The 23,095-nt window shown below is 59.1% G+C and overlaps 2 pseudogenes; both read left to right on the top strand.

Annotated features, from left to right (window-relative positions):
• On the top strand, window positions 5,820–8,491 carry TPSP1 (tryptase pseudogene 1; annotated as a pseudogene).
• On the top strand, window positions 18,211–21,212 carry PRSS29P (serine protease 29, pseudogene; annotated as a pseudogene).

Below are 23,095 nucleotides of genomic sequence, written 5' to 3'. Positions count from 1 at the left end.
TGCCTCAGCCTCCCAAGTAGCTGGGACCACAGGTGTGCACCACCACACCCGGCTAATTTTTTGTATTTTTAGTAGAGACAGGGTTTCGCCATGTTGGCCAGGCTGGTCTCGAACTCCTGACCTCAGGTGATCCACCTGCTTCGACCTCTCAAAGTGCTGGGATTACAGGCATAAGCCACTGCGCCTGGCCTCGGTTTGCAGTTGTCAAAGCAAGTGATACATTTGGATGGCAGGACTCCCAGGGGCTGGCCAAAGATTTGTACCCAGGGCCGTGCCTTCAGCCCATGGCTGTCTGGCCTCGCTGCCCAGGCACATCTGTGTCTGTACTTTTCCGATGGAAGATCCTTGGGGGACAGTGGGCTCCTGTTTCACTTCCTGGCCCTGTGCTCTCAGGCTGTTCAACTGTAGAGTCCGTGCTTGTTCTGAGAACTCCCTTTGTCCACATGCCTGGCGTTGAGGTGGGGAAACTGAGGCTGGAGGGCGGGGGAAGGGCGTGCCCAGGGTCACGGAGCCACGCCGTGCTTCTCAGAGAGGCTCCCCCCTCAGCCCTGGCTCCCGGACCTGCTGTTGCTGACCTGACCTGTGTCATTGGCCACTCGTAGTTCCGACCTTGGTAACCGCAGGGGAATCGTATGCTGGACTCGGCCCCTCAGTCCCTATGAAGAGCCGGGGCTCTGAGTGTTTTCCTCTGGGACTTACGTACGATGATGAGAATTTCACGATGTGGTTTCTCTTCCCAAAAATCCTCTTTACGGCGGTTGTCAAAGACAGGCCACTGCACCTCGCTGCTCCCCAGAATCACAAGACCCCGCCAGAGCCAGTTCTGGCTTATTCTTTTAAAGAGGTCTGGCAGCCAGGTGCGCTGGTTCATGCTCATAATCCCAGCACTTTGGGAGGTCCAGACAGGAGGATCACTTGAGCGCAGGAGTTCCAGGCCAGACTGAGCAACATAGCAAGACCCTGTCTCTAAGAAAAAAAAAAAATTAGCAGGGCATGGTGGGGAGCACCTGTATTCCTAGTGACTGGGGAGGCTGAGGTGGGAGGATCGCTTGAGCCCAGGAGGTCAAGGCTGCAGAGAGCTATGATCATGCCACTGCACTCCAGCCTGGGCAAGAGCGAGACCCTGCTGCAAAAAAAAAAAAAAAAAAAAAAGGTCTGGGTTTGAGGCTCCCTTCCAGGAGGCCTTCCCAGCTGCAGGTGCCTCGCCAGCTGTCTCCAGGCCCAGAATGTTGCAACTTTTTTTCTTGACTGGTAATAAAGTAGCGAGATCTTCCAAAAGCCAGAACCCTGAGCAGCTCAGCCTCCGACCCCCCGGGGTTCCCATAGCCCAAGGATGAGCTAGCTGTCCTCTCCCCAACACCCATCGCAGGTTGGGACAGAAGGCACAGCTCTCAGTGTGACCCACGGCTTCAGTGTGGCTGTTGCTTCTTTTCTAGATGGCTTTTTCTCCTATTTGTTGGAGCTCCCGTCTTTAATTTTGGGAACGTCACGTTCTATAGCACTGCAGCCCTGTGATTCCCTTCTGGCTTCCGTTGGAGCTTGAGTGTGTTGTTTCTGCTGAGCGGGACCATGAGCCCAAAAGGGGCTGCCAGCCCAGGCTCCCTGGCAGATGGACGGACGGCCTGAGCCCACCAGGACCAGCCATGCTCACCCAGTCCCTCCCCACAGCGCCGCTGCCCCCGGCCCCCGACCTGCAAGAGGCCGAGGTCCCCATCATGAGGACCCGAGCTTGCGAGAGGATGTATCACAAAGGCCCCACTGCCCACGGCCAGGTCACCATCATCAAGGCTGCCACGCCGTGTGCAGGGAGGAAGGGGCAGGGTTCCTGCCAGGTGAGACCCCGGCCCTCTGCCCTCGGCGTCGGCTGTGGGAGCTGCTTTGCCATGGGGCTGTCCCCTGACTGTCCTCCCCATACAGGGTGATGCTGGGACCCCCCGGTCTGTTACCGGCTGGACACCTGGCTCCAGGTTGGCGTGCTGAGCTGGGGCGTGGCCTCCAGGCATGGGGACTACCCTGGTGTCTACACCTGGGTAATGACCTATTCATCCTGGGTCCGCCAGCACGTCCCGCTAGAGCGTTGAGGAGGCTTTGATTGCTGGGGAGCGGGCCTCCCCTCTGCTCCTCCTCCCGCCTCCAGGCCCTGTTCCTGCCCACCCCGCCTGGCCCCTGAAGTACCCCGTCCTTCCCTGACCTGGGGGTGAGGACACAGCGGCAGGGGAGACTCAGAAGCTGGTGTCCCGTGGATGTGGGCGAGGGAGGATGCACCCAGGGACCTTGCCTCCTGCCTGGGTCCGCCATGCTATTAAACTGTGTGAACAGCAGCCTCTGAGTCTCTGATTCTCTGATGTGTCCTGGGCCGTGGTGGGGACTTCCTGGTACACATCTCAAGGTTCTGGAGGGCTCAGGGCCAGCCTCGAGTGACTGCACCTTCACGCTTGGTTGGGGGCCAGTGGGGAGGGCTCCGCTTCCCGGAGGCAGCCCCTGGGCAGCTCAGCCTCCCCGCCCGGGTTCCCAGAGCCCACGGATGAGCTAGCTGTCCTCTCCCCAACACCCATCCCTGGTTTGGACAGTTGTTTGCTCATTTCCCTCATTCCCCCAAATCTGTGACATCAAACCCAGCCGCGCTGCACCCCAGTTCAGACCCGGAGCCGCACTGCGGGGCCAGCAGCCTGAGCCTGCTCCCTCGGCCGTGCCTCCTCCTCGGACCTCCTGGAGTCTCGGGGTCAGCTGAGGACATAGCCTCCCTGAACTGTGGGGTCTCCGTGGAGCTGGCTGCCCTGGAATTTGGCGGACCCCAGCTCTGCCCCTGAGCAGCTGCTCCCTCACCCTTCCTCTCCAGGCAGAGGAGCCACTGTGGGCGTGGGTCCCCGCAGCTGCCCCTAAGACCCTGAACGGGACACAGTGGTCCTGTCACAGCCACAGCCACAGCCTGCGCACCACGAGGCCCCGTGGTCCCAAAGCCCCTGCCTGGTGAGCTGTGGCCACTCCCACTTATCTGGGAACAACATTCTCTGTCCCCCACTTTTGGGGGAGACGGGAGCACCCCACTGCATGGGCTTCCTGGAGCCGCAGGGAGGCCCGGCCTTCACCCTGCTGAGCCCCTCCTGCTCCCTGGGCCCCTCGGAAGCAAGGGATCCACTTCCCCCCGGAATCCACTGACCACCCCCTCCCCCAGGGTCTCCTCCACAATAGGGGCCTGAGGACAGCTTCCTCGGGGGTCTCTCTGCATCCCCTCTTGGCCCCACCAGGATTCCGGATTCTTCTCACAGCCCAGGCTTCCTGGGACCCCAGGGGGGCCTGCATGGGGCTACAGGGCCCTTGACCCCGGGTGGACCTGGATGTCCCCAGACTGCACATCAGATCAGGTTTCTGTTATCAGGGGCATGAGGAGAAACGGCTGAGAAAGTTCAGTGAAGAAACGCCTGGGAAAACACCGTGGCGCCCTCTCTCCAGCTCTGGGTAGTTGGCTGCCTCGTCAGCTCCCCCGCCAGCCTCCAGGCTGGGGCAGGACGGCTTCATTCTGAGATGGACGAGGCAGGGGGTGCGGAGAGTGGCTGCCTCCGCCCCTGGGCCTCAGCGGGAGGGTCCCCCTGGGTGGCCTGATGCTCTCAGGCCCCGCCGCCCTGCGGTGGCTGTGAGTATCAGATGGGATCGTCTGTCCATCCTCCTGACAGGCGAGGGGCCGGGGGATCACTGACCTCACCTCCGGCAGAGGAACTTCTGGCTTTTAGTGCCAACTGCCCCACCCCAACTACATGTGCCTCCAACTTGGGAAGCCCGAGGTGTGCGGTGGGGGTGGGGGGCACACAGAGATGGGGGAGGGGCTTAAGGCTTAAGACTGGAGAAAAGGATTTAGGAAGAGTTTGGGGGCAGGTGGGGGCCCAGGCCAGAGAGGGAGGGAGGAGTAGGGACCATGCAGCCTCAGGGAGCACGAGGGTCAGGCTCCCTACACTCTGGGCAGGATGTGAGCCCCTGAGCCCCCTTTCATTAGCTCCGGCTGGGGTCCCAGCACCCGCCGGTGGGGGGATGGGCCTGGAGCTCCAGGCCTTTCTCAGGGTGCCTGTGACCTCTTGGTGGAGGGGCCCCAGAGGAGGAGCAGCTCTCACCGAGGCTGGGGACAGACGGCCCAGGCTGCAGGACGTGGGCACGCTGAATCCTCCAGCACGGGACAGCCAAGTCCCAGTCTCCTCCTGGGTCCTCCCTCCCTCCTCCCTACATCTCTCCTCTCCGTCCCTTCCCTCACTGCCTTTCCGGCGGCCTCTGTGGTTGCCGGTCCTGGCTCTGTCCCCGAAGCCCCCTGCTCCCTTGGAGAATCACGGCTTCGGAGCCACCACACCTCCGAAGCTCTTGCCCAAGACCCAGGGTGCAGCCATGGCATGTCCAGGACGGCATTTCTGCCCCTAGGCCCCTCTGGTCAGCACTGCACGGGTCTCTCTCCTGTCTCTGGGGCATAGTGCTCCTATGGTCCCAGCTAGTTGGGAGAGCTGAGTGGGAGGATCGCTTGAGCCCAGGAAGTGGAGGCTGCAGTGAGCTGTGATCATGCCACTACACTCCAGCCTGGGCGACAGAGCCAGACCCTGACTCAATTGTGTCCCGAAGGCCGCTCTGAGGACGGAGGACCTCACCCCAACCACACCCAACACGGAGGTGTCTCCACGTGCAGACCCCAGGCTGAGCCAGCCGGAGGACATCTGGCCAGAGTGGGCTTGGCCAGTTGTGGTGGGCACCACCATGGTGGGTACCTCGCTCGGACAATCTGCTGGGCCTGTGGCCCCTGTCCCGGGAGCGAGCCGCACCTCCGCACGGGGCTACCCGTCACCTTCATGGGGTGCTGCAGCTCATGAACTGCTGGAAACTGTCCTGGGGACCCCATGGTGGGAGGCAGAGGCTTGCCGCTGCCTCGGGCTCCTTCCTGAGCTCCAGATCTGAGATTTTTCCAAGGGCCCTGCCGTCCAAACCAGCCCTGTGATGCTGTGACGTCCTCGTGGAGGAACAGGCAGGCTGGAGGGTCCCAACCCCGCCCCGGCCGCTCTCTGCCCTCACCCTCTCCTCTTACCCCTGTCCTGCCAGCCCAGGCTGCGGGGTGGGTGGAGACTTGGAGGGTGGGTGGGAGAGAGAGTGGAGGAGAGGGTGAAGAGACCTGAGGCCACCACAGGGCCCCACCCTCCCGCTGCCCTCCTCCTGTGGCTGAGGATAAAGGGGCTCCAAGGGGCCGGGGGAGAGAGCAGCTGAGTCCCGGCACCGTAAGGGCACCGTCCCCTCCCTGATGCCTGCGGGCGGCTCCTGGCCCCCACCCCTGACCCCGGGTCTGAGCCCCCAGCCCCCACCCCACGCCCTCCACCCCTGACCCCGGGTCTGAGCCCCCAGCCCGCACCCCATGCCCACCACCCCTGACCCCGGGTCTGAGCCCCCAGCCCGCACCCCACGCCCTCCACCCCTGACCCCGGGTCTGAGCCCCCAGCCCGCACTCCACGCCCTCTCCCCGCAGCTGCTGCTGCTGCTGTTCCTGGCTGTCTCCTCCCTGGGGAGCTGTAGCACTGGGAGTCCAGGTGAGTCCCGACCCCACACAGCCCTCCCTTCCCAGGGGCTCTGCCACCCCGTCCCCAGGATCCAGGGGACACGTGCACGGCCCGGCTCCTGCCCGAGGGCAGGCGTGGGGTGAGGCTCGGGTGGCAGAGGCCGGGCTCCCTGACCTCCTTCTGTTGTTCCCAGCTCCCGTCCCCGAGAATGACCTGGTGGGCATTGTGGGGGGCCACAACACCCCCAGGGGAAGTGGTCGTGGCAGGTCAGCCTGAGGATCTATAGCTACCACTGGGCCTCCTGGGTGCCCATCTGCGGGGGCTCCCTCATCCACCCCCAGTGGGTGCTGACCGCCGCTCACTGCATTTTCCGGTGAGTCCTGGGCCGGGGACCCCACCAAGGGGAGGTGGGAGTGGGGCCGCCCCATACCAGGTCCCTTGAGTAGCCTGGGTCTGTCCTCCCCCAGGAAGGACACCGACCCGTCCACCTACCGGATTCACACCAGGGATGTGTATCTGTACGGGGGCCGGGGGCTGCTGAATGTCAGCCAGATCGTCGTCCACCCAACTACTCTGTCTTCTTCCTGGGGGCAGACATCGCCCTGCTGAAGCTGGCCACCAGTGTGAGAACAACAAACACTCTCGCGGCAGTCGCCCTGCCGTCATAGTCCCTGGAGTTCACTGACAGTGACAACTGCTGGAACACAGGCTGGGGCATGGTCGGCCTGTTGGGTGAGAACCAGAGGGACGTGGGGCGGGCGTGCGGGGGGGTCCTGGGAAGGCTCATGAAAGACAAGCCCTTGGTTTGCACATTCTGGGGTTTCTCTTGCTAGGGTTGGGGTGCAGGGTTCAGGTGAGCTGCCCTGGGGAATTCAAGCTCATAAAACAGGGAGCAAAGAAAATGAGCCTTTGGGGTGGGTGGCAGGAGCCACTGACTGTGCTGTGCGTGTGTGTGTGGAACACGTATCTTACCCATAGACATATTGCAAGACATTTTCTTCATTTTGTGGAAAAGAAAATGGGTTCAAAGAGGGCACGAATTTATCCATCTGTCCATCCCTCCACTGAAGGCTGCAGAGACCCTGAAGCTTTCTTCCTTTCCTGCTTCGGGCCTCTGTTCTTTGAAAGGCAATACCTGGTGCTGTTCTAGAGCGCGTAGATCCCGCCTCCCTTTTCTAGAGTGTGTGCGTAGGTCCTGCCTCCCTTTTCTAGGGAGAAAGAGAGTGTGTGTGTGTGGTCCCATCTCCCTTTTCTAGAGTGTGTGTGTGTGTGTGTGTGTGGTCCCGTCTCCCTTTTCTAGAGTGTGTGTGTACATCCCGCCTCCCTTTTCTAGAGTGTGTGCGTAGGTCCTGCCTCCCTTTTCTAGAGTGTGTGCGTAGGTCCTGCCTCCCTTTTCTAGAGTGTGTGTGTGTGTGTGTGGTCCCGTCTCCCTTTTCTAGAGCGTGTGTGTGTGTGTGTGGTCCCGTCTCCCTTTTCTAGAGCGTGTGTGTGTGTGTGTGTGTGTGGTCCCGTCTCCCTTTTCTAGAGTGTGTGTGTACATCCCGCCTCCCTTTTCTAGAGTGTGTGGGGGTCCCGTCTCCCTTTTCTACAGTGTGTGCGTAGGTCCTGCCTCCCTTTTCTAGAGTGTGTGCATAGGTCCTGCCTCCCTTTTCTAGAGTGTGTGTGTGTGTAGGGTCCTGTCTTCCTTTTCTAGAGTGTGTGTGTAGGTCCCGCCTCCCTTTTCTAGAGTGTGTGCGTAGGTCCTGCCTCCCTTTTCTAGAGTGTGTGCATAGGTCCCGCCTCTCTTTTCTAGAGTGTGTGTGTAGGGTCCCATCTCCCTTTGCTCCCAATTTAAAAGGTATTGGTGGATGGGGGTGGTAGGGTGGTGGGGGAGTGTGTGCGGTGACTCACACCTGTAATCTCAGCACTTTGGGAGGCCAAGGTAGGAGGATCACTTGAGCCTAGGAGTTCAAGACCAGCCTGGCCAACACAGGGAGACCCCATCTCCACAAAAAATTAAAAAATATATATATTGGCCAGGCATGGTGGCTCGCACCTGTAATCCCAGCACTTTGGGAGGCTGAGGCCAGTGGATCATTTGAGATCAGGAGTTCAAGACCAGCCTGGCCAACATGGTGAAACCCTGACTCTACTAAAAACACAAAAATTAGCTGGGCGTGGTGGTGGGTGCTTGTAATCTCAGCTACTCAGGAGGCTGAGGCAGGAGAACTGCTTGAGCCCAGGAGGCAGAGGTTGCACTAAGCAGAGATTGTGCCATTGTACTCCAGTCTGGGCGACAGGGTGAGACTCCATCTTAAAAAAATTAAAATTAGCTGGGCATGGTGGTGTAGGCCTGTGGTCCCAGCTACTTGGAAGGCTGAGGCTGGAGGATTGCTTGAGCATCGCTGGAGCCTGGGAGGCGGAGGCTGCAGGGAGCTATGATTATGCCACTGTACCCTACCCTGGCATTTCCCTTCTGGGTTCCTGCAGCTTTAGAGGTGGAGCCCCTTTGACTCCACCTTAGGCTGTGTAGGCTGAGCATCCCAGGTCCTGAGCTGAGGCTGGGGGCAGGGAGGGGTCCTGCCATGGTGCTGGTTGGGGGCCCCTCCTGAGCTGCTCCCGCCACCCGTGGCTTGTCTCTGCAGATATGCTGCCGCCTCCTTACCGCCCGCAGCAGGTGAAGGTCCTCACACTGAGCAATGCAGACTGTGAGCGGCAGACCTACGATGCTTTTCCTGGTGCTGGAGACAGAAAGTTCATCCAGGATGACATGATCTGTGCCGGCCGCACGGGCCGCCGCACCTGGAAGGTGAGACCTGGCGCCTCTCTCCTGCCATCTCTTTTCCTGTCTGCGGCTCCGATGCTGGACTTGGATGTGCAGGGTCCTGGGTCTCTGGTCAAGCTGGGCCTTCTCTGCTCCACAGGGTGACTCAGGCAGCCCCCTGGTCTGCAAGAAGAAGGGTACCTGGCTCCAGGCGGGAGTAGTGAGCTGGGGATTTTACAGTGATCGGCCCAGCATTGGCGTCTACACGTGAGTCCAGACCTATGTGCCCTGGATCCTGCAGCAAATGCACCTCTAAGCCCCAGGCTCCTCCCAGCTCCCCAAGAATCCAGTTCCTTCCTCGTCCTGGCCCCTCCGCTCCCTGCGCCTTCCAGCACCCACCTTCTCTGCTCCTCCATCGCACATGGTCCTCACTCCCCTCCACCTTTTCAGACCTATCACCTTCCTCCCTCACACTGGGAGGAGGAGGCATGGAAGGTGCTTTGAATGGGGGTGAGGTTAGGGATGGAAGTCCTGGAGCCAGTTTGCAGTATCGTCTCGTTAAACTGTTAGCAAGGCAAACCAGAAAGTGGCCAGTGTGTTCCTGAGTGTGGGTGCGGCTGGCGGGCAGTGACCGGGGGCTTCCTGACGTGGGTGCATCTGCTCTGGACAGTTGCACTGTAGAAATGGCTGCTCCAGACCAGACATTCTTTGGTGGTGGAGGGAAATGATGAATGGGGTGGTAAGATCAGGGGAAATATTCTCAGTGATGACTCTACTCTTGGGGGCCCAGCTCCCAGCCCAGCCCTCCACTAAAAGAACAGGTCAGCCTCATTACCAAATTTCAACCATCTACCATCTGTCTACCCATCTACCCGTACTAAATCCATCCACTCATCCAGCCATCAATTCATCCATCCATCCATCCACCCACCTATCCACTAATTAATCAATCCATCCATCCATCCATCCATCCAACCATCCATCCATCCATCCACCTATCTATTGATCTACCCATCCATCCACCCACCCACGAATCTATCCACTCGTCCATCTGTCCATCTGTCCGTCCACCCACCCACCCATCTAACCTGCCCAGCTCTGCCCAGCCCTGCCCAGTGCCCACCTGCAGCCCTGCCCAGCCATGCCCAGTGCCCAGGGCATCTCCAGGGTGTGGCACAGGAGGCTTCTGAGGAAACCCAAGCACGGTTTACATCCCTAGTTGCTGGGCCACTGTTTGCCCTGGGGCATTGGAGCATTTAGCACTGAGACTTCCCATATGGCCGCCCTGTGCCCGCCTCGCAGAAGGTCTGGGACTAGGGCTGGGTCAGGGAGGCTGCTGGGCTGTGACGGGGCACCAGGCATCCTCAACCTGAGATGGGGAAGTCTTCATTCTCCTTTCTCTTGCACCCCCCACCCCCAAGGTGAGGGTCAGGTGAGGCTGAGAAGGCCCCTGAGCACCCAGAGGGGCAGCTACACTCTCCTGCTGGAGAAAGGGGCTTCACGGAGAGGCTGGCCCGGGAGGGGGTCTGAGTCTGGTCCCTTCCGGCTTCACACCGTGAGTGAAGCAGCAGGGATGTTGTCTCTCCCGGCAGGTCCCTCCCACCTCACCCGGAGAGAACCACACAGGGCAAGGGCTAGATGTCTGGGCTCCCCAGTAGAGAGGAGGGGGCCTCTGTATTCAGACAGTGGGGTGCGGGGGGAGATCAGGGACAGATCAGAACTGTGGTGAGGGCCCCGTGCCTAAAGCAGGATGCAGCCTGGACAACGGCACAGAGCCCACTACGCGCAGGTCCCTTTTGCAGCACTGCAGTTGGAGGCAGAGCTGGGCAGGTGCTGGGGTGGGTGCTGCGGCAGCTGGCAGTGTGCCAACCATGCAGAGGCCCAGAGACCAGCTGGCAGGGTGCCAACCATGCAGAGGCCCAGGACCAGCTGGCAGGGTGCCAACCATGCAGAGGCCCAGAGACCAGCTGGCAGGGTGCCAACCATGCAGACGCCCAGAGACCAGCTGGCAGGGTGCCAACCATGCAGACGCCCAGAGACCAGCTGGCAGGGTGCCAACCATGCAGAGGCCCAGAGACATGGGCCAGGGCCAGGAGTGGGTCTGCAGGCCCTTCACCCACGTCACCTGCTACCCGACGGCCATCCCCAGGCCCTTCACCCATGTCACCTGCTACCTGATGGCTGTCCCCAGCACCCTCACCCACGTCACCTGCTACCCGACGGCCGTCCCCAGGCCCTTCACCCATGTCACCTGCTACCTGATGGCTGTCCCCAGCACCCTCACCCACATCACCTGCTACATGATGGCCGTCCCCAGGCCCTTTACCCACATCACCTGCTACCCAATGGCTGTCCCCAGCACCCTTACCCACGTCACCTGCCACCCGACGGCCATCCCCAGGCCCTTCACCCACATCACCTGCTACACGATGGCCATCCCCAGGCCTTCAACCACGCCACCTGCTACACGACGGCCATCCCCAGCACCCTCACCCACGTCACCTGCTACACGATGGCCGTCCCCAGGCCCATCACCCATGTCACCTGCTACACGATAGCTGTTCTCAGGCCCTGCCACAGGGACAAAGGGGCCACCCTGATGAGGGACAGGAATCTCACTGACGTCGCCCCCCCCCCCCCCCCCGCTCATAGAGGATGCAGGCCCACGGATGCGTCCTGTACCTGTCCCTGGGTCATCTCAACGCTGTGACCCACCCTCTCCTGGGTCTGACAGCCTCTGGACAGCCCCTGGGCAGAGCCGTGCCCCACAGGGACAGGCTGAGGGGGTCTGCCACTGTATTCTTCCCACTGCTCTGCCGGGAAGGCCTGGGATCTGTCTGCTCCCCATGTCTACCACATGTGCCCTGAGCCTCATCTCGTGAAGCTCTGGGCCACACCGCCATGCCCAGCTAATACTTATATTTTTGGTAGAGACCTGGTCTCACTATGTTGCCCAGGCTGGTCTCATACTTCTCAGCTCAAGCAATCGTCCCCCACTCGGCCTTCCAAAGTGTTGGGATTACAGGCGTGAGCCACTGCACCCAGCCAATTACTTCAATTTTTTTAATTTTTTAATTGTTGTGGGTACGTAGTTGTGTATATATCTATCTTGCATGGTTTTATGTGACAATTATACTAAATCTTCAAGGAACAAATAATCCCCATTTCAAACAAACTCTTCCAGAGACTAGAAAAAAGAGACGAATGTCCTGACTGATTAGATTCGATGAGCGTCGCCTGCAGAGCAAGCCTGGACTAATAGAGAGCAGGAAAACTTCAGGCCGAATTAACTCACGAACATTGACTCAAACATCCAAAATCATTAACAAGCTGACTCTGAAAATGTGCTCAGAATTACAACAAAACCTAAACAGGTCTAAAGCAGGTGGGTTTAACGCTCGGGAAATCTAACCGTCTAATTTGCCAGTTAACGGAGCAGAGATAAACAACCATGTGATAATCTAATCGATAAGTATTTGATTCTCTGGGTTGATCAATTCAACCACCAACTGCAATAAAACTCTTAGCAAATTTGGCAGATCTCACCCAAGCTCAAGGCAAACATTCTACTTAACAGTGGACCGCGGGAAGCCCCTTCTGTGAGTGAGGGATGGGTAGGGACAGCCACCCCTCCCCCTGCCCAGCTCAGTGCATGCAGCCCCGCGCAGCACATACATGAAGAGAAACAGGCCAGGTGCAGTGCCTCACGCCTGTCATCCCAGCTACTCGGGAGGCCGAGGCAGGCAGATCACCTGAGGTCAAGGGTTTGAGACCAGCCTGGCCAACATGGTAAAACCCCGCCTCTACTAAAAATATGAAAATTAGCCGGGCTTGGTGGCACATGCCTGTAATCCCAGCTACTTGGGAGGCTGAAACAGGAGAATCACTTGAACCCGGAGGAGCGGAGGTTACGGTGAGCCAAGATTGTGCCACTGTATTCCAGCCTGGGTGAGAAGAGTGAGACTCTGTCTCAAACAAAAACAAAAACACCAAAATGAAACAAAAAACAAAGAGAAATGAATAAAAAGTGTCAGGGTCGGAAAGAAAGGGACGGGGTTGCAGTGTCTGCTGACAATGCAGTGGTCTTCATAGACCATCCAAGGTCACCTGCAGACAGTGTCAGGGCACGAGCGCAGCAAGGCAGCTGATCCACACCAATGCAAGACCAACAGCTGGTGATACACGGGGCTTCTAGGCCGGGCGCGGTGGTCACGCCTGTAATCCCAGCACCTTGGGAGGCTGAGGCAGGAGGATGGATGGAGCCAAAGCGTTCAAGACCAGCCTGGGCAACATAGTGAGTCTATCTCTATAAAAACATTGTTTTAAGCCATGCAGAGCCTGGGCAACACAGCAAGACCCCATCTCTACAAAAAATACAAAAATTAGCCAGATGTGGTGGCGTGCACCTGTAGTCCCAGTTACTCAGGAGGCTGAGGCAGGAGGATCATTTGAGCCCAGGAATTTCAGGCTGTAGTGAGCCAAGATCTTGCCACTGCACTCCAGCCTGGGCAACAGAGGAAGGCCCTGTGTCCAAAAAAAAAAAAAACAAACCCCAAAAACCGTTTTTATCAACAATTGTATTGGCTCCAGTGTTTGTTGAAGAAAATTGCTTTTTGTTCATTTAAAGCTCTAAGCAATACTTCTCATCAGAAATGAAACTTACCCACTAACTTCTGAAGATTCACCTACTCACCACCCTCATGGACCTCCTGCACGTGAGCTCCCCGGCAGGAATATCATCCAGACGCAAATCGTCTTGCTGGCTGGGAAGACGCCGAAACTCTTGGTTTAGTTTTGCCTCCACACCACTGCGGAGGGGAAAGAAACAGATTTTGTCGGATTTAAGTTGAAAGCACAATATGAAGTCTCATGATTTCAGAGGAGAAAGGGCCACCATATCCAAGACCATGTGAGGAAAAAAAAAAAAACAAAAAAGAGAGCCCCGCCCACCAGAAGCGGCAACGAATCTGTCATTGGCCCAAGGATGGAAAACCACGCCCATGCTGGGCCCCACATTCCACCTGCCCCCAACCCCAGAGCCGGCTCCGCCCTGGGCTCCACTGTGGCTCCCGGGGGCTCGATTCCAGCCCATCCCAATTTCCAGTGATGTTTATTATTATTTATTATTATTATTGAGACAGAGTCTTGCTCTGTCACCCAGGCTGGAGTGCAGTGGCGCGATCTCGGCTCACTGCAAGCTCCGCCTCCCGGGTTCACACCATTCTCCTGCCTCAGCCTCCTGAGTAGCTGGGACCACAGGCGCCCGCCACCACGCCCGGCTAATTTTTTTTTGTATTTTTAGTAGAGACGGGGTTTCACCATATTAGCCAGGATGGTCTCTATCTCCTGACCTCGTGATCCACCCACCTCAGCCTCCCAAAGTGCTGGGATTACAAGAGTGAGCCATCGCACCCGGCCTCAGTGATGTTTATTATTAGTAATTATTATTATTATTTTGAGACAGAGTCTCGCTCTGTCACCCAGGCTGGAGTGCAATGGCACAATCTTGGTTTACTGCAACCTCCGCCTCCGGGGTTCAAGTGATTCTCCTGCCTCAGCCTCCCGAGTAGCTGGGATTACAGGCGCCCACAACCATCCCAGGCTAATTTTTATATTTTTAGCAGAGATGGGGTTGCACCGTGTTGGCCAGGCTGGTCTCAAATTCCTGACCTCAGGTGATCTGCCTGCCTTGGCTTCCCAAAGTGCTGGAATTATAGGTGTGAGCCACTGGGCCTGGCCTCCAGTGATGTTTAAAAGATCAAATCCGGCCAGGCACAGTGGCTCATGCCTGTAATCCCAGCACTTTGGGAGGCCGAGGTGGGTGGATCACGAGGTCAGGAGATCGACACCATCCTGGCTAACATGGTGAAATCCTGTCTCTACTGAAAATACAAAAAAAACCCAAAACAAACAAAAAACAACAACGCCGGGCACGGTGGCTCATGCCTATAATCCCAGCACTTTGGGAGGCCAAGGCAGGCAGATCACCTGAGGTCAGGAATTTGAGACCAGCCTGGCCAACACGGTGAAACCCTGTCTCTACTAAAGATACAAAAAATTAGCCGGGCGTGGTGGTGCATGCCTGTAATCTTAGCTACTTGGGAGGCTGAGGCAGCAGAATCACTTGAACCCGGGAGGCGGAGGTTGCAGTGAGCCGAGATCACGCCATTGCACTCCAGCCTGGGCGACAGAGTGAGACTCCGTTTCAAAAAAACAAAAAAGAAAAAAAAAGAAAAAAAAATCAAATTCCTTCTCTTAAATTCTCTTCTGCTTAAACAGTGAGTCTGGTTCCTGCTTCCTGTTATAGAGCCTGTCTCCATACAGCTGCAGCATAGGCAGCTCCCAGAGGGAACAGAGGATGCCTGAGCCCATGAGTGGCCTGAGAGATGCAACTGGAATCTCGTTCCTTATTCAGGTCCCCTAACTTTTTTTTTTTGAGACAGGGTCTTGCTCTGTCACTCAGGCTGGAGTGCAGTGGTGTGATCATAGCTCCCTGCTCAACCTCCTGGGGTCAAGTGGTCTTCCTGAGGCAGCCTCCCCAGTAGCTGGGACTACAGGCGTGTGCCACCACACCTGGCCAATTTTGTTGATTTTTTGTAGGGATGGAGTCTCACTTTGTTGCCCAGGCTGGTCTTGAACTCCTGGCCTCAGGCGGTCCTCCTGCCTCAGCCTCCCAAAGTGCTGGGATTACAGGCGTGAGCCACTGCTCCCGGCTCCCAACAGTAAGTGTTACTGACGTTTTTCCACTCTGCCTCATTTTTTTTTCCTTTTTTTTTTTTTTTTGAGATGGAGTCTTGCTCCATTGCCCAGGCTGGAGTGCAATGGACCATTTCAGCTCACTGCAACCTCCACCTCCCACGTTCAAGCGATTCTCCTGCCTCAGCCTCCCAAGTAACTGGGACTACAGGCACGCGCCACCATGCTCAGGTAATTTTTGTATTTTTAGTAGAGACGGGGTTTCACCATGTTAGCCAGGCTGGTCTCGAACTCCTGACCTCAAGTTATCTGCCTGCCTCAGCCTCCCAAAGCGTTGAGATGACAGGCGTGAGCCACGGTGCCCAGCCTGCGCCCCATCTCTTGTCACCCGTATCAGTGTCCTGAGGCTGCTGCACAAAGTGCTGCAAACTGAGGGGCAGAATTTTATTCTCTCTCAATCCTGGAGTGTCAGCAGGGCCGCTTGCTCCAGAGGCTTGGAGGGAGGGGCCGCTCCATGCCTGTCTCCTCGTGTCCGGCGCTGCTGGCTGTCCTTGGCTTGCAGCCACATCACTCCCATCCCTGCCTGCCTTCCCCGGCCTTCCTCCACCGCTCTAGGTCTCAGGCCCCCTCTCCTTTCTCTTATAAGGATGCCTGTCATTGGATTTAGGGCCCACTCTAATTCCAGAATGATCTCATCTTGACATCCTCAATTACGTCTGCAAAAGCCTCATTTCGGAATCAAGTGACGTTCACAGTTCCTGGGGCTCAGGCTTGAACGTATCTTTTCGGCAAATGCAGTTCAACTCACCACTGCACCCGGCTCCTGACCCCGGAGGTATTTTCCTCCTTCACCTGCACGTCCTGTAGGAGCCTCCCTGTGCAGACACAGCACTGGGCAACTTGTAGAACCTTCTCCACACAACAATGCCCAATTTTGGCCGACCTCACATCTGATTCCAAGTATAAAGCACCGAATAAAAGATAAAAGGAAAGTGTCACCTGCATCCTCCACGTGAGAATCCGACGTTCCTGTCTCTGCACAGGGCGAGCTTGGCTCACCCAACCTGGACTCGGCTGGGGCCCAAGGGCTCCTTGGCCTCTCCCGGGCAAGCTTGGTTCACCCAACCTGGACTCAGCTGGGGCTCGAGGGGTCCTCGGCCTCTCCCCCAGCCCCCCGCAGCCCAGGACCCCTGACTGTAGGCTCCAGGCCTCCCTGGAAGCCCTGGCCACGCTCGCCCCGCAGCCCTCAGACTGGCTGTGCTTCGCGGATCTTGGCTGGTTCGAGGCTGGTGCCGTCCCCGCCTTACCTGGGCCTCCTGGACCCTGCCTCCCGGCAGCTGGGTGGGGGACCAGGAGAGTCCTGCACCCGTGACGCAGCTGCCACATTATCCTCGTGTCCCGGGAGGGAGAGGAATCACCAAGAAAGCCCCCAGGCTAAGCAGCTGTCCTCTCTTCTCCTCGGCCCTCTGGCTCTAAACAAGGAACCCAGGTGATCCAGACCCGAGCTTCCCTCCCATCAGCCTCTCCTGGCCTCACCTGGCTGGCCTCCCAGCCCTCCCATCCTCCAGCTGCTCTCCTGTCTCCTTCTTGCATCTTCAGATGGAGCTGCCCACTCCATGGGCCTGGGCAGCAGCTTGAAGTGGGCGTGGGCCAAGCCCTCTGGGAGTGAGGGGTGCAGCGGCTCCCAAGGCACAGAGCCAGAGGTCCTGGCCCATGATGGGTGAATGCGGCCAGGAGGGAGGGACGGGGCAGCTGGGAGTCCATCTCGGGCAGCCTGGGGCTTCTCTCCTCCCCATGCAGGGAGGTGCAGGGCTGGGCATGCAGGTGGAAGTCTGGCTGCAGAGGATTTCACAGCTGCAGGCCCAGCCTCGGGGACCCACTCCCTCAGCCTCCGGGGAATCCTGAGGCATCACCAGGAAGCTGCTGGTAGCATGGAGAAGGCTGGATTTGCTCCAGCTGGAGGACATGCGGGCACACACACACACTCATACACGCATGCACACACACATGCACACGCACAATGTACAAACTCAATGCACACTCACTCATACATGCATGCACACACATACACGCATGCACACACTGATGCATGCACACATGCACACACATGCGTGCACACACATACATGCACACACGCACACATGCACTCATACTCACAAGCATGCACACACATGCATGCAGACACACACTCATACACACATGCATATGCACACATATGCACACACTCATACATGCACACACATGCACACATCACGTATGCACATGCTTACATGCACACATTCATACACACATGCACACACACATTCACATGCACGCACACACATGCTTTCAAACATGCACGCACTTTCATACTCACATGCACACACACGCACATGCGCACACTCATACACATGCACACACATACATGCATGCACACACATGCTTACATGCACACATGCACACTCATACGCACACACAGGCACACAAACACATGCAAACTGACGCGCACACACGCACACATCCTTACATATGCACACGCATACACACATGCACACACTCATACACGCACACACACACTCATACACGCATGCACACACCCACACTTACACACATGCTTACACTTATACTCACACACATGCAAACACACGCACACACACGCAAACACAAACAGCAGCATGCACACACTCATACACACATGCACACACACATATACACACGCACACACCCATATACACACTCATACACACACACTCGTACACACATGCACACACTCATACATGCAGGCACACACACATCCACACATACATGCACACATGCATGCACACACATGCTCACACACACACATGCACACTCACATGCTTACACACATGCACACACTTATACTCACACATGCACACACATACATGCACACAGAGGCATGTGCACACCCCATGCCCACACACGTATGCACACACACACAGGCACCCCCCACACCCCCACCCATTCACAGTGCTCCCTTGTGTTCCCACACCACCACAATCACCCTGGTTACAATCTCATGGCAAAGCAAGACTTCTGGAGGAGAGGCTGTAGGGTTGGGCCTCGGCCTCTGCTGCCCCTGTCAGCCCCAGAACGTGTCTGCCACCTGGGCTGAAACAGGCATTTGCTGCCGGAGCCCCAAGGCACAGCAGTGGGCAGCTGGGGCCCAGGGGGCTGGGCCCTGGCCTGAGAATGCAGCTCCCCACCCTCTGAGACTCCCAGCAGGTGACGGCCCCTCTCCCAGAGCAGAGTGTGCCCCTCCTGCAACCTGAGGTTTGTACTGATTAAAACAGGTTCCTGGAGCCCATCCAGAAGATCTCCCTGTGTGGGCTCCACAAACTCCCTCCAAGGACTGGAGCCTGGGCCTGGGGCGGCCACCATGGAGCAGGCGGGTCCCCTGGCCCAGGCTCCAAGTGCCTCTGGCAGGCCCTCTGGCTGATACTTTTGCACCCGTGGAGGTGTGTACAAGTGCCCGTCCCGTCCCGGGTGGCAGGAGAGGCTGCGGGAGAGCTGGTTACTAGGTGCTTCCTTGGCCTCTGTGGCACTGGCCATGAGAATGGGTAGCATGGCGACAACCTGAGCACTGTGGGCATTTGGGGCCAGGGGCCCTCTGCAGTGGGGCCATCCTGTGCACCGTAGACATTTAGCCCCCCAACCCCGGCCTCTTCCCACTAGATGTGGGTGGTGTCCCTATATCCCTGACAAGCATAAATGTCCCCTGGGGGACATAGTCACCCGTGGGAGCCACTGGTGTAGACAGGGAACCCGGGTACAGGACCTCTGTTGGCCCAGCAGAGGGGATGCGAGGGGCTGGGGGTGGCCCCTATCCTCATGGTCACCCTGTTTACAGCCTGGGCTAGGAGCTATTGCCCCCACCCTGGGAAAAGAATGTCTGACTGAGCCCCACCCACTTCCTTTGCAAGGAAGAGAAAGCAGCTCCGGGAGGGTCCGGGAGGGCAGCTGTGGCCACAGACCACGGTGAGGACACTGACCACCGGCAGCCACCTGTGGCCTCCAGACCCAGGTCCCTCCTGGCTCTTTCCAGCCAGCCCTCTCCTCCCTGCGCAGATGCTGTGGCTGCTATTCCTGACCCTCCCCTGCCTGGGGGGGCTCCATGTCCAAGACCCCAGGTGACTCCTGGCCCAATCCCACACTGGACCCTCAGGGACTGGGCTAGGACGGAGAGCTGACCCCCTCGTCGAGCAGGGCCTGGAAGCTCCTGGCATTGCAGGAGGGTGGGGCCCGGCTCCCTGACCTCCTTTGGTTGTTCCCAGTGCCCGTCCCAGAGAATGACCTGGTGGGCATTGTGGGGGGCCACAATGCCCCCCCGGGGAAGTGGCCGTGGCAGGTCAGCCTGAGGGTCTACAGCTACCACTGGGCCTCCTGGGCGCACATCTGTGGGGGCTCCCTCATCCACCCCCAGTGGGTGCTGACTGCTGCCCACTGCATTTTCTGGTGAGTCCCGGGCCTGGGACCCCAATGAGGGGAGGTGGGAGTGGGGCCGCCCCAGACCAGGACCCCTGAGCAGCCTGGATCCGTCCTCCCCCAGGAAGGACACCGACCCGTCCATCTACCGGATCCACGCTGGGGACGTGTATCTCTACGGGGGCCGGGGGCTGCTGAACGTCAGCCGGATCATCGTCCACCCCAACTATGTCACTGCGGGGCTGGGTGCGGATGTGGCCCTGCTCCAGCTGGTGAGCCCCATGATCTGAGCCGCTAATGTCAGGACGGTCAAGCTCTCCCCGGTCTCGCTGGAGCTCACCCCGAAGGACCAGTGCTGGGTGACTGGCTGGGGAGCGATCAGGATGTTCGGGGCGTGTTGGGTGGAGGCTGGGGAAGGACTCGGGCTGTGGGCCCAAAACGCCTCATTCCAGGGCTCCGGGGGTGGTGGTGGGGTGGGTGAGTTCCAGAAAGGGAAGAGACGGAGCTGCTCACCGCCATGCAGCACCTCCGGCTGCTTTTCCCCACAGCTCTGTGCTGCCCGGGCCCAGAGACTCGGGGGTCCTGCGAGTGCCAATGGCCACACCAAGCTCCAGACTCATTATTCAGAGGGGAAAATACTTCTCATTTTTTTCTACTTAGGAAAGGTTTTTAAATTTTTTTGCTGGGTGCGGTGGCTCACACCTGTGATCCCAGCACTTTGGGAGGCAGAGGCAGGAGAATGGCTTGAGCCGGGGAGTTTGAGGCCAGCCTGGGCAACATAGCAAGACCCCATCTCTAAAAAAGAAAAGAAAAGAAAAAACACCGCAAACGAAAACACCTCAAAACCAAAAGGCATTTTTTGGAGGAAAAAAAACAGAAAAACTCATCCCTCCACTTTTCTCTGGTCCGTCCGACTGCGAGCCCTGGGAGTTTAGAGGGAGACACGAGCCCTCCCACCTCCTGGGGTCCCACACACCGTGCTCAGGCTGGGAGGTTCAGGCCGGGACTAGGGGCCCTTGGCCACAAGGGAGCCACCTTCCTTCCCAACCTGGGGAGGTGCTGGGGCTGCTGGGTTGACGGCAGGGGCGTCTCCGCTGTGCCAGCCGGGGTCACCTCTCTCCCCAGAGTCGCTGCCGCCGCCCTACCGCCTGCAGCAGGCGAGTGTGCAGGTGCTGGAGAACGCCGTCTGTGAGCAGCCCTACCGCAACGCCTCAGGGCACACTGGCGACCGGCAGCTCATCCTGGATGACATGCTGTGTGCCGGCAGCGAGGGCCGAGACTCCTGCTACGTGAGTGCCCCCGGCCCGCCCTGCCTGCCTGCCCTGCTCCCACCGCAGAGCTCAGCGGTGACCCCTTTCCTTCCCTTCCTCAGGGTGACTCCGGCGGCCCTCTGGTCTGCAGGCTGCGGGGGTCCTGGCGCCTGGTGGGGGTGGTCAGCTGGGGCTACGGCTGTACCCTGCGGGACTTTCCCGGCGTCTACACCCACGTCCAGATCTACGTGCTCTGGATCCTGCAGCAAGTCGGGGAGTTGCCCTGAGCAGGCTGGGCTGGGCTCCCACCTGGGTCGGCTGAGGAGGGACCAGGACCTTCCTCCTCCCAGCGATCTCCGCTTCGGCCTCCGCTGCAGGCCACCGTCTTGAGCCCGGCTTCTCTGGCTCCTCAGCGCCCAGGACCTCCCTGATGCCGGGGTGGGGAAGGGGCCGGGGAAGGGAGGGTGGGGGCCTCGCTGCGTCTCTGTCTGATTAAAGAGCAAGAGCAGAGTGTGTGGCGTCTCTGTGGGATGGATTTGCATTCCAAGCTGCAGCCAGGTGCGGTTTGCTCAGCCACCTCCTGTTGGAGGCCTCCACATTTTGGCTATGGTAATAAAGATGCTGAGAACATTCATGCTCCGGGCTCTGTGTGGACGTGCGTCTCTGGGCTCTGTGTAGACGTGCGTCTCCGGGCTGTGTGTGGACGTGGGTCTCCGGGCTCTGTGTGGACGTGCGTCTCCGGGCTGTGTGTGGACGTGGGTCTCCGGGCTCTGTGTGGACATGCGTCTCCGGGCTCTGTGTGGACGTGCGTCTCTGGGCTCTATGTGGACGTGGGTCTCCGGGCTGTGTGTGGATGTGGGTCTCCGGGCTGTGTGTGGACGTGGGTCTCCGGGCTCTGTGTGGACGTGCGTCTCCGGGCTCTGTGTGGAAGTGTGTTTCCTGTCCTCTGGGGGCGACACTCACAGGTGCTGCTTCAATGCCAGGTTCCAGATGAGGAAACCGAGGCAGGAAAGTCACCGGAGATGGAGGCGCAGTGGGTTGGGGCTCGGGGGACCCAGGCCGGCACGCTGCACGCTGCTCCTGTGCTGGGGCCTCCGCGTCCCCGGGCCCTGGCCTCCCAGGGCAGTGGTTAGGTTTAGATTCCTGCCCCGACTCCCTCCTGTACCGGGCGACGCCATGGGTCCCAGAGCTCAGACACCACCACGCAGGGCGAGACGGGAGTGGACGGCCGCGAGAGGCCCAGCCTCCGCATGGGGTGCCTTCCTGGGGCGCTTCCTCTAAGGGCCAGGCCAGTGTGGGCAGGGAGAGCAGTGCTCTGAGGGGCAGGCGACGCCCAGAACGGCCCCGTCCCTCCTCCGCCCCGTGTTCATTCTGCACCTGGACCAGGCAGACTCAGCGCCCAGACCCCAGGCTGCAGGTCAATGTGTGGTTCTGGCGTCCGCTCCCCCGGGCCCCCAAAACCAGGGGCTTCCTCCTCTGCCCCTGTGCTTTCGGGACCTCTGCAGGGCAGAGAAGAGGTGGAAGGTCAAAAGGGAGGGTCTGGGGAGGCTCCTGGCTCCTCCGCAGAAGTTTCTGCAGGTGAGCGGCTCGGGGACTGGCCTTCACCCTCCCACCTGCCCTCGCCCGCCCTGCCTGTCACTCCCGGGGATGAGGGTCGGGAGGATCCCCACAGGGCAAGGGCTTCAGGGCAAACCCAGGCTCTGAGCCTCCGCGCAGAAACCACATCTGGGTTTATACTTTCTCCCACGCCCCTGGTCTTTCCAGAGTGGGGCAGAGCAGAGCAGTTGGGGCGCCCCAGCTGGGGGAGTCACTGCACTTCAAGGCAGTGGGGGAAAGACTCCCGGGGTGTGGACGGGTAGGGCACTGCCCTTTCTTTCCCGGGGAGCTGGCTGCCTCTGACACTCCTCATGCTTCCCTTCCTGGGAGAAAGCGGGGAGCCCCAGGCCAGGTTGCCGGCTGCTCTAAACCCAGGGTGAGACCTGCTGGACACAGCCCAGGGCCTCAGGGGACGTGACCACAGCCCGCGTCCCAGGGCGCTCTCGGCGGGGGTCCAGGGTCCAGCTGCACCCCGCCACCTCCCAGGGGGCTCCTGGGTCTCCCACACTGCCCTGGCTCCCTGGGCTTTCTAAGACAGGCAGCGGGCAGTGATCAGTGCCATTCCCAAGTCCTCCGAGCCACGTCCCCGCCCAGCCGGACCCCGCTGGACCCTGCTCTGCCCTGGCAGCGTTCAGAGTCCCTCCCTTGCAGCCCCTGATCTGTGCGACTCACAGGACACCAAGACCCAGACGGGAAGCCGAGCACTCACACCCTCAGTGCGGCCACGGCAGGCTTCCGTGTTTGACGGAGAAATCACCTCCCGCTGCCGGGAGGAGACCGAAATTAATTGCTCCTCCTCCAAACCGGGAGCCACCTGTGCCCCCACTCGCCGACCAGGGCAGCTGAGGAGGCCCCACCCCACAGTGACT

This window comes from Homo sapiens, chromosome 16 (genome assembly GCF_000001405.40).
Source record: "Homo sapiens chromosome 16, GRCh38.p14 Primary Assembly".
Classification (NCBI taxonomy): domain Eukaryota; kingdom Metazoa; phylum Chordata; class Mammalia; order Primates; family Hominidae; genus Homo; species Homo sapiens.
This window is presented reverse-complemented; position numbering and strand designations above follow the sequence as displayed.